Source organism: Homo sapiens, chromosome 1, assembly GCF_000001405.40.
Source record: "Homo sapiens chromosome 1, GRCh38.p14 Primary Assembly".
NCBI classification, from domain to species: Eukaryota; Metazoa; Chordata; class Mammalia; order Primates; family Hominidae; genus Homo; species Homo sapiens.
The window spans coordinates 155,986,849-156,003,794 of NC_000001.11; the positions used below are offsets into that span (position 1 = coordinate 155,986,849).

At 50.1% G+C, this 16,946-nt stretch overlaps 1 long non-coding RNA gene across 1 annotated transcript, besides 2 other annotated features; it reads left to right on the plus strand.

Moving 5' to 3' along the window:
* Positions 2,422-2,501: an enhancer, noted in NCBI's record as "active region_1833". NCBI's record gives its function as "activates an Ori minimal core promoter by ATAC-STARR-seq in GM12878 lymphoblastoid cells {active_cell/tissue: GM12878}" and the evidence as "EXISTENCE:reporter gene assay evidence [ECO:0000049][PMID:35858748]".
* Positions 3,372-3,441: an enhancer, noted in NCBI's record as "active region_1834". NCBI's record gives its function as "activates an Ori minimal core promoter by ATAC-STARR-seq in GM12878 lymphoblastoid cells {active_cell/tissue: GM12878}" and the evidence as "EXISTENCE:reporter gene assay evidence [ECO:0000049][PMID:35858748]".
* On the plus strand, positions 4,526-14,939 carry ARHGEF2-AS1 (ARHGEF2 antisense RNA 1). Its single transcript, XR_001738248.2, has 2 exons — positions 4,526-4,662; positions 14,660-14,939. It is a non-coding gene; the product is annotated as an ARHGEF2 antisense RNA 1 (long non-coding RNA).
* The last annotated feature ends 2,007 nt before the right edge of the window (positions 14,940-16,946 follow it).

Sequence of the window (16,946 nt, forward strand, 5' to 3'; positions counted from 1 at the left end):
GGTGGCAGGCCCCTGTAATGCCAGCTACTCAGGAGGCTGAGGCAGGAGAATTGTTTGTATCCGGGAGGCGGAGTTTGCAGTGAGCCGAGATCGTGCCACTGCACTCCAGCCTAGGCAACAAACCAAGACTCCATCTCAAAAAATAAAAATAAAAAAAGCAGGTGATGGGATGACATGGAGTTTTTGTTTTGCTTTGTTTTGTTTTGTTTTGTTTTTTGCTGCTTCCCTGATAGGCTATATACTGCTCCCTTCAGCCTCTCCCCCAAACCACAGGCGCCCAAACAATGAGGCCAGGGTTGGAACCCCTGGCCAGCTAGATGATGAGCTGAAGGGGAGGCAACCTTTAGCCAGCAGACTTGAGACATCTCAGTGTACTCAGGGTCTGCTGGCTAGCAGGCCCAGTGGGGTCTCCAAAGCCCTTCTGTATCCTTAATGGTCCTTAAACCCTGGTTGAAGATCCCCCCAGTTGTGTTTACTTAAGCCAGAAGGCTGGGCAATCTCTATATCCTTTCTCCATCGATCATCCTATGATTGTTTTGTTAGAGAATTATTATTGTTCAGGGTACCAGATCTTAGTTTCATTCCACAGATAATAAGTTCGGCTCCAGGCTGGGCATGGTGGCTCACACCTGTAATCCCTGCACTTTGAGAGGCCAAGGTGAGTGGATCACTTGAGGCCAGGAGCTTGAGACCAGCCTGGCCAACATGGTGAAAACCCATCTCTACTAAAAATACAAAACTTTGCAGGGTGTGGTGTTGCGGGAAGTCAGGGACCCCAAACGGAGGGACCGGCTGAAGCCATGGCAGAACGTGGATTGTGAAGACTTCATGGACATTTATTAGTTCCCCAAATTAATACTTTTATAATTTCCTATACCTGTCTTTACTGCAATCTTGGAACATAAAATTGTGAAGATTTCATGGACACTTACCACTTCCCCAATCAATACCCTTGTGATTTCCTATGCCTGTCTTTACTTTACTTTCTTAATCCTGTCAGCTGAGGAGGATGTATGTCGCCTCAGGACTCTGTGATAATTGCGTTAACTGCACAAATTGTACAGCATGTGTGTTTGAACAATATGAAATGTGGGCACCTTGAAAAAAGAACAGGATAACAGCAATTGTTCAGGGAATAAGAGAGATAACCTTAAACTCTGACCACCGGTGAGCCGGGTGGAACAGAGCCATATTTCTCTTCTTTCAAAAGCAAATGGGAGAAATATCGCTGAATTCTTTTTCTCAGCAAGGAACATCCCTGAGAAAGAGAATGCACCCCTGAGGGTGGGTCTATAAATGGCCCCCTTGGGTGTGGCCGTCTTCTATGGTCCAGACTGTAGGGATGAAATAAACCCTAGTCTCCCATAGTGCTCCCAGGCTTATTAGGAAGAGAAAATTCCCGCCTAATAAATTTTGGTCAGACCGGTTGCTCTCAAAACCCTGTCTCCTGATAAGATGTTACCAATAACAATGGTGCCCGAAACTTCATTAGCAATTTTAATTTCGCCCTGGTCCTCTGGTCCTGTGATCTCGCCCTGCCTCCATTTGCCTTGTGATATTCTATTACCTTGTGAAGTACGTGATCTTTGTGACCCACACCCTATTCGTACACTCCGTCCCCTTTTGAAAGTCCCTAATAAAACCTTACCGGTTTTGCGGCTTGTGGGGCATCACGGAACCTACCGACATGTGATGTCTCCCCCGGATGCCCAGCTTTAAAATTTCTCTCTTTTGTACTCTGTCCCTTTATTTATCAAACTGGCCAACGCTTAGGGAAAATAGAAAAGAACCCACATGACTATCGGGGCAGGTTCCCCAATAGTGTGGTGGCAGGCGCCTGTAATCCAAGCTGCTTGGGAGGCTGAGGCAGGAAAATAACTTGATCCCAGGAGGCAGAGGTTGCAGTGAGCCAAGATCGCGCCACTGCACTCCAGCCTGGGCAACAGAGGGAGACCCTGTCTCAAAATACATAAGTAAATAAATAAATAAATAAGTTCAGCTCCAAATTGGGGAAATGTGGGGTCCACAGAAAGAAGTGGTTATAATTACTAGGGGAACAGGGCCCTTTTACTGAGAGAGGAACACATACACCCTCATCAACACAGAGGCACCGACACAGAAAGGAAGAAACAGAGTCTTGGAGAAAGAGACAGAGGCAGGGTACCCGGAGTCAGGGACAGAGCACACAGACCCAGGGGAGCAGACAGAGGTGCATAGACGATAGATTCCCATTCGCTCAGATGGAGCCAGAGCAATGCCCGGGCACAGAGAGACCCAGCAGCTGGCAGAACAGAGGAGACGTAGGATAGAATGGTGGCTAGACAGGCGAGGGGCAGGAGAGGAGGAGCAAGGCAGGGGCCTTCATGGGGATCTGTCTGTCCGTACCAGCCGGGAGGCGTAGCCACCCTGGTGCTGCAGTCCCAGAAAGGTGTCCAGTCCTTCTCGGATCTGCAGGAAGAGGGCCTCCTTGGGGCCTGGGCATCCCGATGCTTGCAGTCTCCTCCTGAAACACACATCGCCACCACTACCGTCTGTATCCAGTGGCCAGTGACGGGCACCAGGGAGGAACACTGCCTCGCCTCAGCCCAGCCCTGTTGCTTGCCCCCAGCCCAGCCCTTCCTGTTGGCATAAGCACAGCCCAGACCCAAACTGGTCCTACTTTGGGGCTCTGCTTTGCCAGGGCTGCAGAGTTGGCTGTGGGCAAGAGTGGCCCCTGCTGGTCAAAGGGCAGTACTGCCTCCAGAAGAAAGCCAGGGTTCAGGGGAAGGCGAACAGCAAGAGCAAGCTGAATTCTCCCTCCTTGCCTGGTTGCTGATGCCAACCTTTGCCCCTGCTCAGCCAAATAGTGCACTCAGGACTCCCTTCCCTCTCTAACCAAGGGGCAGAATTAATGCCTGACTGTGAAAGGTGGGTGACACTTGAAAGACCCTGAGATACAGTTGGTGCCACATAAGGGGGGCCCAGGCATTTGGGCATCTCTGCTTTCAGCCAGCTACCCTTAGGAAGGTGCCATGAGCCCTGCAGGCATTGCTTCTCATCTGAGTTCCCACCCAAGCCAGTTCAGGGACAAGGCCCAGGGTCCTCTCCCCTCACTGAAACCAGCCAGCCCTGCCCGGGAGCTAGGGAAGGTTGGTTCACTCACCAGAGCTAAAGGAACTTGTTCAAGGGGACCATTGTCAAAGCAGAGAGACAGTGCCCTTCCATGGCCAGCAGCCCCTACAATGTTCACTCACACTGAACTCTTCATGCTGACCCCCGGACCTTCTCTTTCTGACTTCCTCTGACTTTGGGGAAGTGGTCAGGGGTTTTCCAAGGGAGGGGGAAGAGATGATCTCTCTGCTCCAGTCCACCAAGCCTATGCAGAAGTCTGAGCAAGAACAACTGATCTCATGTGGCAATGCGGGACCATGAGTTAATCCAAGACATCCTGGGTTGTCCTCAGCCTGCAACCAAAAGCCCGGCAAAGGCCTGGCAATGGGGCAGGCCAAATGTCCCAACCGTGAGACCACCTCTCTCAAGAAATCTCTGAAAGTTCTTTGGGCCTCAGTTTCCTTATCTGTAAAATGAGGAGATTGTGCCATATGCTCTCTGAGTTCCTTTGTGGTTCTATTACACCATTATGTGGTTCTATGAAACCCACCGTGGGAGGCAGAAGCAAGAAGATCCAGTGTCCTGATACTCCCCCTGACTCCACACCTCCCTCCCACTCCCACCCTCAGTCTTCCCTGAGAGAAGGAGGTAAGAGCCACTGTGGAGAGGCATATTTTGGAAGGCAGCATCCATCCTCCCCCAAAGGCCCACAAATGGGATTGAGCTCTGGTTCTCCAGGGAAAGGACTGAGGGCCCAGGTCTCCTTGATTCTTGTTGTTCTTCGGATGGTTGTCTCTTGAGGGAGATGACTAGAGAGTTATCTAGTTCCTTCCCACTTTCCCATTTTCTCCAAGGTCTAGGCCTGGAAGGAAGGAGGTACAGGAGGTCCCCTGGGGGCTTACGTATTCAGTGGGCCCTCGAGCTCCCTGCCAGGCCCCCAACTATGTCTTCTGAAGACGTCTTTGTTTTCGGCCGTGGGCCCGGAAAGCCCCTGACCTTTGGAGGGGTACAGCATGCGAGCCATTCCCCTCCTTTATTTCCCCATCTCTTCTTCCTCCAGTTGTTCTCTGGATTCAACTGCAGAAAGGCAGAGGCCAGTGTGGCCTCACGGGCACCTTGTCTCCACCTGCTCAGAACACGTCTGGGACGGCTCTGTTCGTGGGAGACACACACAGACCAGTCTGCGTCAGCAGGAAATAAGAGTGAGCAGGGTTCTAGAACTCTGAAACCTTGGGACTAGAAGTGTGTCACAGTCAGCTGGACTTAGGAGTGCCTAGCCACCACTCACTTTACTGAGACACATAACTGGATAATGTGTCACATTGTGACACATTGTGACCTCAGGGTCACATTGTGACACATTGTGACCTCAGGGTCACATTGTGAATTAGCTGCAGACTCAAGGCTAGAACTTAGGTTTTCTGGATCCCAGTTCAGTGTCCTTTCTAGTACATAAAGAGATCCTCATTGTCTCCTTCTTATTCCATTTACTGAGGACTTATATAGCAGAAAGCCAAGCAAAGAGAAATAGATATTGTTCCTATCCTCAAGGAATCAGAGTCTAGTGAGTGGGTGAGTGTGTGTGTGTGTGTGTGAACAAGCAAAAGAACAAATCACAGATGACTCCATAACTGGCTCACATATGCCAAATGCCACAAGAGAAGTTTCAACAAAAGGCTTTAGGCTGTTAAAGGAGTGAGGGCACGTGACCAGTTGGGAGACTCAAAAAAGGCCAGGTGCGGTGGCTCAGCCAGCACTTTGGGAGGCTGAGGTGGGTGGATTGCTTGAGCCCAGCTGTTCTAGACCAGCCCGGGCAACATAGCGAGACACTGTCTCCACAAAAAAACAAAATGTTAGCCGGGTGTGGTGGCACGTGCTTATAGTCCCAGCTACTTGGGAGGCTGAGGTGGGAGGATCACTTGAGCCCAGGAGTTCAAGGCTGCAGTGAGCTATGATCATGCCACTGCACTCCAGCCTGGGTGACAGAGTAAGACACTGTTTGCTTTTGTTTTGTTTTGTTTTGTTTTTTGAGACAGAGTTTCGCTCCTGTTGCCCAAGCTGGAGTGCAATGGTGCGATCTCAGCTCACTGCAACCTCTGCCTCCTGGGTTCAAGCGATTCTCCTGCCTCAGCCTCCCGAGTAGCTGGGATTACAGGCACACCCCACCATGCCTGGATAATTTGTATTTTTAGAAGAAATGGGGTTTCACCATGTTAGCCAGGCTGGTCTCAAACACCCAACCTCAGGTGATCCGTCCGCCTCAGCCTCCCAAAGTGCTGGGATTACAAGCGTGAGCCACCGTGCTCGGCCTTGTTTTTTTTGTTTCGTTGTTTTTTTGTTTTTTTTTTGAGACAGAGTCTCGCTCTGTCGCCCAGGCCATAGTGCAGTGGCGCAATCTCAGCTCACTGCAAGCTCCACCTCCCGGGTTCATGCCATTCTGCCATTCTCTTGCCTCAGCCTCCCGAGTAGCTAGGCCTACAGGTGCCTGCCACCATGCCCAGCTAATTTTTTGTATTTTTAGTAGAGAGGGGGTTTCACCGTGTTAGCCAGGATGGTCTCGATCTCTTGACCTCATGATCTGCCCGCCTTGGCCTCCCAAAGTGCTGGGATTACAGGCGTGAGCCACTGCGCTGGGCCTGTTTTTGTTTTTAAAGGGGAGGAGGAAACAGAAATAAGCAGATGGCCTTTGAGATGTGCCTGGAAGGGTAAAGTGGTTAGGATTTGGCCAGGGTAGAGGGAGAGGATTTTAGGCAGATAAAGTAGCAGGGGGAGGCCGGGTACGGTGGCTCACTCCTGTAATCCCAACACTTTGGGAGGCTGAGGTGGGCGGATCACGAGGTCAGGCGTTCAAGATCATCCTGGCTAACACGGTGAAACCCCGTCTCTATTAAAAATACAAAAAAATTAGCTGGGTGTGGTGGCGGGTGCCTGTAGTCCCAGCTACTCGGGAGACTGAGGCAGGAGAATGGCATGAACCCAGGAGGCGGAGCTTGCAGTGAGCTGAGGTCGGACTCCAGCCTGGGCGACAGAGCGAGACTTTGTCTCAAAAAAAAAAGAAAAAAAATTAGCCGGGCGTGGTAGCGGGCGCCTATAATCCCAACTACTTGGGAGGCTGAGGCAGGAGAATTACTTGAACCTGGGAGGCGGAGGTCACAGTGAGCCAAGATTGTGCCATTGCACTCCAGCCTGCATGACAACAGCAAGATTCCATCTCAAAAAAAAAAAAAAAAAAAAGGTAGAAAAAAGTAGCAGGGAGAAAAGGTTCATGAGTGATAAAGTGTTGTGATTTCTCTTTCTCCCTCTCCCTCTCCTCCCCCTTCCTCTTCTTCTCCTTCTTCTGATGGAGCTTCACTCTTGTTGCCCAGGCTGGAGTGCTATGGCGTGATCTCACCTCACCGCAATCTCTGCCTCCTGGGTTCAAGTGATTCTCCTGCCTCAGCCTCCTGAGTAGCTGGGATTACAGGCATGCGCCTCCAGGCCCAGCTAATTTTGTATTTTTTTTTAGTAGAGATGGGGTTTCTCCATGTTGATCAGGCTGGTATCAAACTCCTGACCTCAGGTGATCTGCCCACCTCTGCCTCCCAAAGTGCTGGGATTACAGGTGTGAGCCACCATGCCCGGCATGATTTCTTCTTCTAAGAGTCTGGTCATATGCAGAGTGAAAGCCAGTCTGACCTCTCTCCATGGTGCAAAGAGAAGGGCTCCAAGCATCAGCCACAGAGCACACATTTCCTCCACTCTCTCCCAAATGGGCGTTGTTCTCAGTGCCCAACACTCCCGGTTGGCATCATGGCTTGCCTCAGTGTGTCTCAGAATTAAGAACCCTCAGGTGCTCTTAAAGTTGAAAATGATAAGCCCCACTCCAGAAAGAAGTGCCAAGTCCCAGAGTACCAGGGGCAGGAAGGGCAGGAAGGGAAATAGCATTTACTGCATACCTCTGTACACTTCACTCTTAGGCCATGTCTCTCTCGACCTTCTGCTCTAATGAGTCTCCCAGGCTCCCTTTCTCCTGGGACCACTTCTAGCTACTTAGACATCAGGAGTGCCCAGAAGGATCAGGAAGCCGGGACCCAAAACCTTCCCTCTTTCAAGGCTTTCTGTGGGGCTGTCAGACCTTCTCCAGGTTGTCTTAACCACCCCAGGGAAGTCCAGGTTATCAGTTATTGTCCCTTCAATCTACTTTCCTCCGTCACTGCAATCTGTTCACTGCCCTCACCCCACCCAGAGCAGCTGAGAAGAAAGTGCTGCGCCACAGGCTGGGCGCAGTCGCTCACGCCCGTAATCCCAGCACTTTGGGAGGCCAAGGCGGGCAGATCACGAGGTCAGGAGTCCGAGACCAGCCTGGCCAATATGGTGAAACCCTGTCTCTACTAAAAATGCAAAAATTAGCTAGGCATGGTGGCACGTGCCTGTAGTCCCCGCTACTTGGGAGGCTGAGGCAGGAGAATCGCTTGAACCCAGGAGGCAGAGGTTGCAGTGAGCCGAGATCGCGCCATTACACTCCAGCCTGGGCAATAGAGCAAGACTCCGTCTCAAAAAAAAAAAGAAAGAAAGTGCTGTGCCTGGGGTGGCTGTGTGCCTGTTTACCACAGGGAAGGGAGGGAGGCAGGTGCTCAGGCCTCTACAGACGGCAATGCTATTCCCCCATTGGGTGGGTGTCTAAGGAGAGAAAAGGAGAAGCCTAGGAGAGTGGCCATGGCCCTGTGCCCATCTGTGCTCATCGCGTCTGGGAGCAATGGACAGGGAACCCCTTAGCCAGCCACCAGGAGAGATCCTCTCCCTCCCTGCCTACAAATGGGCCCTGTGCCATCAGGTATGTTGGGTACAAACAGGATGAGCAGATCTACAGGAAGCAGGTCAGAGCCTAAGGGCCATGGCAGGGTCCCTCCCAACCAGTGGCCTCCAAAGCTGAGATTTGGAGGCAGAGGGAGGTTGACAAAAATACTGTGAAAAGCTGGGGTGGAGAGAAGAGTAGGAACTGGAAATATACTAGGAAAAGGGGAACGGGGGCTGGAAATAGGACAGAAACTGAGAGGCCGTGACGGGGAGGCAGGGACACTGCGTAGATACTGTGAGCTCTGGAATTCAGGGACCTCCCAGAAGAAGAAAGTTGGTTTGAACTTTACACCCTGTATTCAACCTCTACCTCCTAGCCTTGTCTCAGCTGTGCCCACCCGGTTGAATTCTTCTTCTTCTTTTTTTTTTTTTTGGAGAGAGGATCTCTCTCCCTCTGTCACCCTCAAGCCTCACTGCAGCCTCCGCCTCCCAGGCTCAAGCAATCCTCCCACATTAGCCTCCTGAGTAGCTAGGACTACAGGTGCATGCCACCACATCCAGCTAACTTTTAAATTTTTGTTTTGTTTTGTTTTGTTTTAGATGGAGTTTTGCTTTTGTTGCCAGGCTGGAGTGCAGTAGCGCAATCTCAGCTCACTGCAACCTCCTCCTCCTGGGTTCAAGAGATTCTCCTGCCTCAGCCTCCCGAGTAGCTGGGATTACAGGCATGCACCACCACACCCAGCTAATTTTTGTATTTTTAGTAGAGATGGGGTTTCACCATGTTGGCCAGGCTGGTCTCAAACTCCTGACTTCAGGTGATCCGCCCACCTCGGCCTCCCAAAGTGCTGGGATTACAGGTGTGAGCCACTGCACCTGGTCTTAAATTTTTTATAGCGATGGGGTCTCACTATGTTGCCTAGCCTGGTCTCAAACTCCTGGGCCCAGGCGATCCTCCTGCCTCAGCTTCCCGAAGTGCTGGGATTACAGATGTGAGCCACTGCGCCCAGCCTGCAGGGTTGAATTTGGCAAGATGAAGGAAGTGCAGTGAACTGGAGACCTTTGCTTTTCTTCTGTCTGTGTGGATGTTCCTGCTAGAGATGGTGTCCTGTCACCCTGGCCCCATTGACAGGTACCTCAGATCTTAAGATCTTTGTGAAACTCACCCTGGCCCCACTGACAGGTACCTCAGATCTTAAGATCTTTGTGTAACTGTTCACCCTTCTTCCTCCAGCTCAGACCAACTGGAGTCTGACCTCTTCTCAAAGATCTACCCTTTTTCCAGCATCTCTGTCATTTCATTCATGGTCTCTGCCCTCTGTGAAAATGGAATCTGTCTGGCAGTTTCTCCCTCACATCCTCATCCCCACCCACTAACCCTGCCTATGCTATGATGCCAATACTTTTTATTCTGTCCCTCAAAGAGATGAGGTTTAACAAGGCTTCCTCAACTCCCTCCTAGCAATATTCCCTCCTCCACTGTCTGAAATTCAAACTGGGGGTCCCATCATCGTGTTGCTTCTTTTTCCATTAGATTAACTCTCCTAGCCCCCCTCCCATTTTCCCTTAGCCTCTTGAGCTCAGGAAATGGTGCAGGGGAGAGGCCAGGGCTGGGTCTCACACAATGGCTTTATTTAGCCCTCAAATGAGATCACATCATGTCATATCACTGCTTCCACTGAGCAAAGAGATAGGAGATTCTGAAATAGGTCTGGGATCAGATGCTTGAGATGGGGGAGGGGAGCTGGGAAAGCAGGAAGGGGCTCTAAGAAGTCATTTTACTTATCTTCCTGCCTCTGGATCAGATGGTCTTCCCACCACTGCAAACCATCAGCGTGTGCTGTCCCTTCCTCCAAGTGTATAACCTCCACAGATTGCACTGGTCATCAAAGATTTCTTAGACATTCTACTGGGAGCTGGAATGGGAATATATAATATTTTAATAGAGAGAGACATCTGTTATTCAAAACTCTGAGACCATAATTTCTTTAGGGTGTTACAGCTTTTAAGTCTGTCAAATTTGCTAGCTCTGCCACTTTCTTTTTTTCTTTCTCTTTCTTTATTTTATTTTTTTTTTTTGAGATGGAGTCTCGCTCTGTCGCCCAGGCTGGAATGCAGTGGCACAATCCTGGCTCACTGTAACGTCCACCTCCTGGGTTCAAGCGATTCTTCTGCCTCAGCCTCCCAAGTAGCTGGGATTACAAGTGCCTGCCACCATGCCCGGCTAATTTTTGTATTTTTACTAGAGACAGGTTTAGACATGTTGGCAGGGCTAGTCTCGAACTCCTGAGCTCAGGTGATCTGCCCGCCTCAGCCTCCCAAAGTGCTGGGATTACAGGCATGAGCCAACGCACCCGGCCTAGCTATGCCACTTTCATAAGCCACATAACCTTGGGAACTTAACTTTTTTTTTTGTTTTTGACACAGGGTCTGGCTCTGTTGCTAAGGCTGGAGTGCAGCTTTGATCAGAGCTCACTGCAGCCTCAAACTCCTGGGTCAGGAGATCCTCCTGCTTTAGCATCCAGTAGCTGGGACTACAGGTATGCACCACCATGCTCTAAGTAAAAAAAAAATTTTTGGGCCCAGTGCAGTGGCTCACGCCTGTAATCCCAACACTTTGGGAGGCTGAGGCAGGTGGATCACAAGGTCAGGAGTTTGAGACCAGCCTGGCCAATATGGTGAAACCCCATCTCTACTAAAAATACAAAAATTAGCCAGGTGTGGTGGCGCACACCTGTAATCTCAGCTACTAGGGAGGCTGAGACAGGAGAATCACTTGAACCCGGGAGGCGGAGGTTGCGGTGAGCCGAGATTGTGCCGTTGCACATTCCAGCCTGGGCAACAAGAGTGAAACTCTGGCTAAAAAAAAAAGAAAAAAAAAAAAGCTGGCTGGTCTGGGCTCAGGGGCTCATATCTGTAATCCCAACACTTAGGGAGACTAAGGCAGGAGGATCACTTGAGGCCAGGCATTCAAGACCAGCCTGGGCAACACAGTGAGACTCCATCTCTAAAAAAAAAAATTTTTTTTTAGAGATGGAGTCTCACTCTGTTGCCCAGGCTGGAGTGCAATGGCGTGATCTCGGCTCACTGCAACCTCCACCTCCTGGGTTCAAGCTATTCTCCTGCCTCAGCCTCCCGAGTAGCTGGGATTACAGGTGTGCACCACCATGCCCAGCCTGGGCACCCAGCCTGCCCAGCCAGCTTTTTTGAGCTTCAGATTCACGTAAAATGGGAATGAGAAGCCGGGTGAGGTGGCTCATGCCTGTAATCCCAGCTCTTTGAGAGGCCGAGGCGGGTGGATCATCTGAGGTCAGGAGTTCGAGACCAGCCTGACCAACATGGTGAAACCCCATCTCTACTAAAAATACAAAATTAGCCAGCGTGGTGGCACATGCCTGTAATCCCAGCTACTCGGGAGGCTGAGGCAGGAGAATCACTTGAACCTGGGAGGCAGAGGTTGTGTGAGCCGAGATTGTGCCATTGCATTCCAGCCTCGGCAATAAGAGCAAAACTCTGTCTCAAAAAAAAAAAAGGAATGATAAGACCTACTTTGTTTTGGGGGTTTTGTTTGTTTGTTTGTTTGTTTGTTTTGAGATGGAGTCTCGCTCTGTCACCCAGGCTGGAGTGCAGTGGTGCGATCTCGGTTTACTGCAACCTCTGCCTCCCGGGTTCAAGCGATTCTCCTGCCTCAGCCTCCTGAGTAGCTGGGACTACAGGCACCCACCACCATGCCGGGCTAATTTTTGTATTTTCTGTAGAGACGGGTTTCTCCATGTTGGTCAGGCTGGTCTCGAACTCCTGACCTCAGGTGATCCACCTGCCTCGGCCTCCTAAAGTGCTGGGATTACAGGCATGAGCCACCATGCCCGGCCTGTTTGTTTTGTTTTTTGAGATAGGCTCTCTCTCTGTCACCCACGCTGAGTGCAGTGGCACGATGATGGCTAACTGCAGCCTTGATTTCTCAGGCTCAGGTGACCCTTCCACCTCAGCCTCCCAAGTAGCTGCGACTATAAGTGCGCACCACCATGCCTGGCTGATTTTTTTTTTGGTATTTTTTAGTAGAGACAGGGTTTCACCATGTTGCCCAGTCTGGTCTCAAACTCCTGGGCTCAACTGATTTGCCTGCCTCGGCCTCCCAAAGTGCCAGGATTACAGGCGTAAGCCACTGGGCCTGTACTTATTTTGTAAGGATGTTGAGAGACTTGATGATAATGTATGCAATGCACCTAGTCCCCCTTCCATCTGTTTTTGGTACATATTAGGTGCTCAATAAATACTATTATTATTGTTGTTATTATTATTTAGAGGCATAGAGACGGCAGGGTATATTGAAACAGAGAGCTAGAAAGAATAATGCTTGGCCTGGTGTGGTGGCTCACGCCTGTAATCCCAGCACTTTGGGAGGCGAGGCGGGAAGATCATGAGGTCAAGAAATCAAGACCATCCTGGCCAACATGGTGAAACCACATGTGTACTAAAAATACAAAAATTGGCCTGGCATGGTGGCTCACACCTGTAATCCCAGCATTTTGGGAGGCCAAGGCGGGTGGATCATCTGAGGTCAGGAGTTCGAGACCAGCCTGACCAACATGGAGAAACCCTGTCTCTACTAAAAATACAAAAAAAAATTAGCCAGGTGTGGTGGTGCATGCCTGTAATCCCAGCTACTCAGGAGGCTAAGGCAGGAGAATCGCTTGAACCTGGGAGGCGGGGGTTGCAGTGAGCCGAGATTGCACCACTGCACTCCAGCCTGGGCAACAGAGTGAGACTCTGTCTCAAAAAACAAACAAAAAAAATTAGCTGGGCATGGTGGTGTGCACCTGTAGTCCCAGCTGCTAGGGAGGCTGAGGTGGGAAAATCACTTGAACCCAGGAGGTGGAGGTTGCAGTGAGCTGAGATCACACCACTGCACTCCAGCCTGGCGACAGAGCGAGACTCCATCTCAAAAAAAAAAAAAAAAAAAAAAGAAAGAAAGAAAAAGAAAGAAGGAGGCAGGAGGCCCAAGATAGAAGCAGAAATAGGCATCATATGATGGTCACCTACTGTTTTCTCTTAGAGAAAGACAATAAATAACCCATGGGCTGACACTAACATAACTATGATGGCAACAGTTACACACCACTTCTGATGGAAAAGTGTATGCAACCAGAGCAAGAAGAGCAAGAAGAAATGAGTGCTTTTCTGTCCTTTGAGACCCTGATGAGCCCTGACAAAGTTGTCCTCTTCAAGGAGAAGAAAGGGATAGAATGGCCTCTGGAAATTTAAAGCAAGGGTTAGCAAACTATAGCCTCTGGGACAAATCTGTCCTGCTATCTTTTTTTAATAGTTGAAAAAAAATAAAAGAATACTTTGAGACACAATATTATATGAAATTCAAATTTCAGTGCTTGTAAATAAAGTATTTTTGGAACGCAGCCATGCTCAGTCATTTACATATTGTCTATGGCTGTTTTTGCATTATGACAGCAAAGTTGGTAGTTGCAACAGAGAGCCCACAAAGCCTGATATATAGATATATCCTGAGTCTGGGATCCTAATATATATGTGTGTGTGTGTCTGTGTGTGTGTGTGTGTATGTGTGTGTGTATGTGTGTGTATATATATATGTGTGTGTGTGTATATATATATATGTGTGTGTGTATATATATGTGTGTATGTATATATATATATTTTTTTTTTTTTGAGATGGAGTTTTGTTCTTGTCACCCAGGCTAGAGTGCAATGATGCAATCTTGGCTCACTGCAACCTCCACCTCCCGGGTTCAAGCGATTCTCCTGCCTCAGCTTCCCGAGTAGCTGGGATTACAGGTGCCTGCCACCACTTCTGGCTAATTTTTATATTTTTTAGTAGAGATGGGGTTTCACCATGTTGGCCAGGCTGGTCTCGAACTCCTGGCTTCAGGTGATCCATCTGCCTCGGCCTCCCAAAGTGCTGGGATTACAGGCATGAGCCACCGTGCCCGGCCATATGTTTGGTTTTTTTTTTTTTTAGACAGGGTCTCACTCGGTCGCCCAGGCTGGAGTACAGTAGCACGACCTCTGCTCACTGCAGCCTTGACCTCCCAAGCTCAAGCAATCCTCCCACCTCAGACTCCCAAGGAGCTAGGACTACAGGCACACAACACCACACTGGGATAATATTTGTAATTTTTGTAGAAACAAGGTCTCGCTTTGTTGCCCAGGCTGGTCTTGAACTCCTGACCTCAGGTGATCCACCCCACTTCAGCCTCCCAAAGTGCTGGGATTACAGGCCACCACACCAGGCCAAGTGGCTAGCTTTGAAAGAAATCCGGCAACATTATTTTTACCCACCTCATTCCTACCTCCCCGACCCCAGCCAAAGAAAAGCAGCAGCTTCCAAAAGAAATGAGATAGGGGTCCCAAAGAAGTTCAATGTATCCTTTCTGCTCCCTCTGTTAGCTTAGACCTCTGAATGAGGTGATGGGGCGCAGGCAGGTCTCTGGTTATGTTTGCTGCCAGCAAACACTGAACATAGGGGAGGAACTGCTGACAGTAACCAAACAGCCAGGCGTTGTGGCCTGGAGGCAATGCTGGCCGGCCCTTTCGCAGACTGAGAAGCTTTCTGAGTCTGGCTCTGGGATCCTAAATCTACCGAGGTGGCCAATATTGGAGAAGACCCAAGAGAACAGGATAATAAAGACTGAGGTGGAAGGGAGAGGCCAAATGACATGTTGTACTGGCTCTCCTCCAAATCTCCTGGCCCTGGGGGTGGGACACAGGGTCACAAAAACTCTTCGATGGTTCAAAATTTAACCTAACATTTCTTCTCCTGTAGAAAGTGAACCATTAATCCAGCAGTGCCCTGCAAAGACGGCTAAAGCAGAGCTTCTCTTCGCCTCAGATAAAGAAGCCAGGAGCTACAATTCCTTCCCACCTGCTCCCTAGATACCCCGTTCCAAGACAGGAGCACCCAAGTCTCTGACACCCTCCTGCTTCACCCATCCGCCTGACTTGGCTGAACGCTGGTGTCCTGGAACTCATTCTCTTTCTCTGATCTTCCTGTCCACTGCCAGAGAGTGGTGCCACAATTCCAAAAATGAAAGGAAAGTAAAAGATATAGAGGATCCATTCATTCAGCAAAGATTATTTTAGCACTTTGTAAGTGTCAGGCACAGAAAAGAGGACCCACAAGGGTCTATGCACAAATACAATGGTGGGACCTGGCTACCATCCCTTAGTGGGGCAGAGGCCAGTATGGGCAAAAGCCATGTGTCCTATCAGCTTCCGGGTTGTCTCCTGAGAGGCATTATCATCTGTACTTAGTTCCTGAATTTCAAGGCATCCCCAGCCCCCTAATCTAACCACACACCCCTCTACTAAGTCAGCCACAGGCATCTCAGACACTCTCCCTAAATCATCCCCATGTCCTTGATGTACTAGGTTCGTAAGTCAGTCAGGAATTTTGCTGCTCTGGGCTTCCAAGTGTGACCACCTTTTTTTTTTTTTTAATTGGTTAGTAAAGTGAACTTAGGGACCCTGCCCTCTTCCTTTCTGCTGGACCTGTAGCTATATGCTTATTCTATCAGGGGCTTGGGACCCAGACTAGCCCTTTATTTATGGCGGATAGAGAAGAAAAGGGTCAAGACCAACCAGTCTTCTTCTACCTCCTGCCAGTTTCCTGGGCATGTGTTCTGGGTGCTATGCCAGATGGGTGTGGCAAGAGAGGGTCTGAGGGTAAGGACCCAGGAAAGGGAAGAGGGAAACTCACCAGAACTGGGAGATATCCCAAAGATGGGGGACCTGTTTCTGCTGTCAGTTGGTGACTTCAGTGTGGGAAAAAGTCCTGCTTCAGGTGGCCCCTTTAAGAACCCAGTCCAGCACTTTGGTGGGGGTCCCCTCTCTCTTGGTCCTTTTAAGGGAGCTGTTCATGGTCCAGAAGTTTGCATAAGAGAAAGGGGGGACTCATTCCAGTCCAGATCAGCTGCCTCTTCATCCACTGTAGCCCTTCCTTTCCCCGCCCTACTTCAAACACCCTAAACAGTGCTGTGCCCAGGACCTTAACTCTTTCAGTGCCATTACTGATCCCAGGGACTCCTGGGTCCCTCTGTCTTCAGCATTCCTTGAACACAGGGTGGCTACAAAATTCAGACTTGTGTAGAAACAGGTACAAGAAGCCATGCTGGGGTCACCCTGAGGAGAGAGTATGTGGGAACCTGACACCCCAGGGAACGTTTACCCTTCCTCCAACAGGGTCAGGGAGAAACTGAGGAGGGGAGAAAGCGGACATCTCTGGGAAAGAAACAGCTGCAGCTGGAAACCTACTTCACAGCAGGGTCCTCAGGTCAGTGGTGTCCTTTGCCCTCTCAAATTCAGCTACAAAACTGATTGTCAGCCGGGCATGGTGGCTCATGCCTATAATCCCAGCACTTTGGGAGGCCGAGGCGGGCGGATCACTTGAGGTCAGGAGTTAGAGACCAGCCTGGCCAACGTGGTGAAACCCCGTCTCTACTAAAAATACAAAAATTAGCCAGGCGTGGTGGTGCGCACCTGTAATCCTAGCTACTGGGGAGGCTGAGGCAGGAGAATCACTTGAACCCGGCATGCAGAGGTTACAGCCAGCCAAAATCACACCACTGCAATCCAGCCTGGGCAACAGAGCAAGACTCCATCTCAAAAAAACCAAAAAAACAAACAAAAAAACCTGATTGTCGGTCCCTTTAAGAGGCAGGTTACAGCAATGGAGGAGGAAAGATTGTATTTTTTTGTGATGAAAGTACAGGGTGGAGCAGTTACAAGGGCAGCTGCACTGAGAAGGGCCCTAGCGTCAGCACCAGGAACAGGGGTGACCAAGCAACTCAGCATATCCGGGGCTCACGGCTTGTTGTGGATACCAGGCGGCAGGATATTTGACCAGCTCCCCAACTCTCTTCCCAGATAACAGCTTCTGGGGTGGGGCGGGGGCTGACTCACCTTCACTGCTTTCCCTGGGGCAGAAGACAGCTGGGGCGGACATCGGACTTCCTGAGGTAAAGGGGAGCACTCCTCGCCTCCTGTGGGCTAGTAGAAAGGGCATATTAGAGCTGGAAGATCTTGGCTGCCTCTGCCAAGTCACTAGTTGCAGG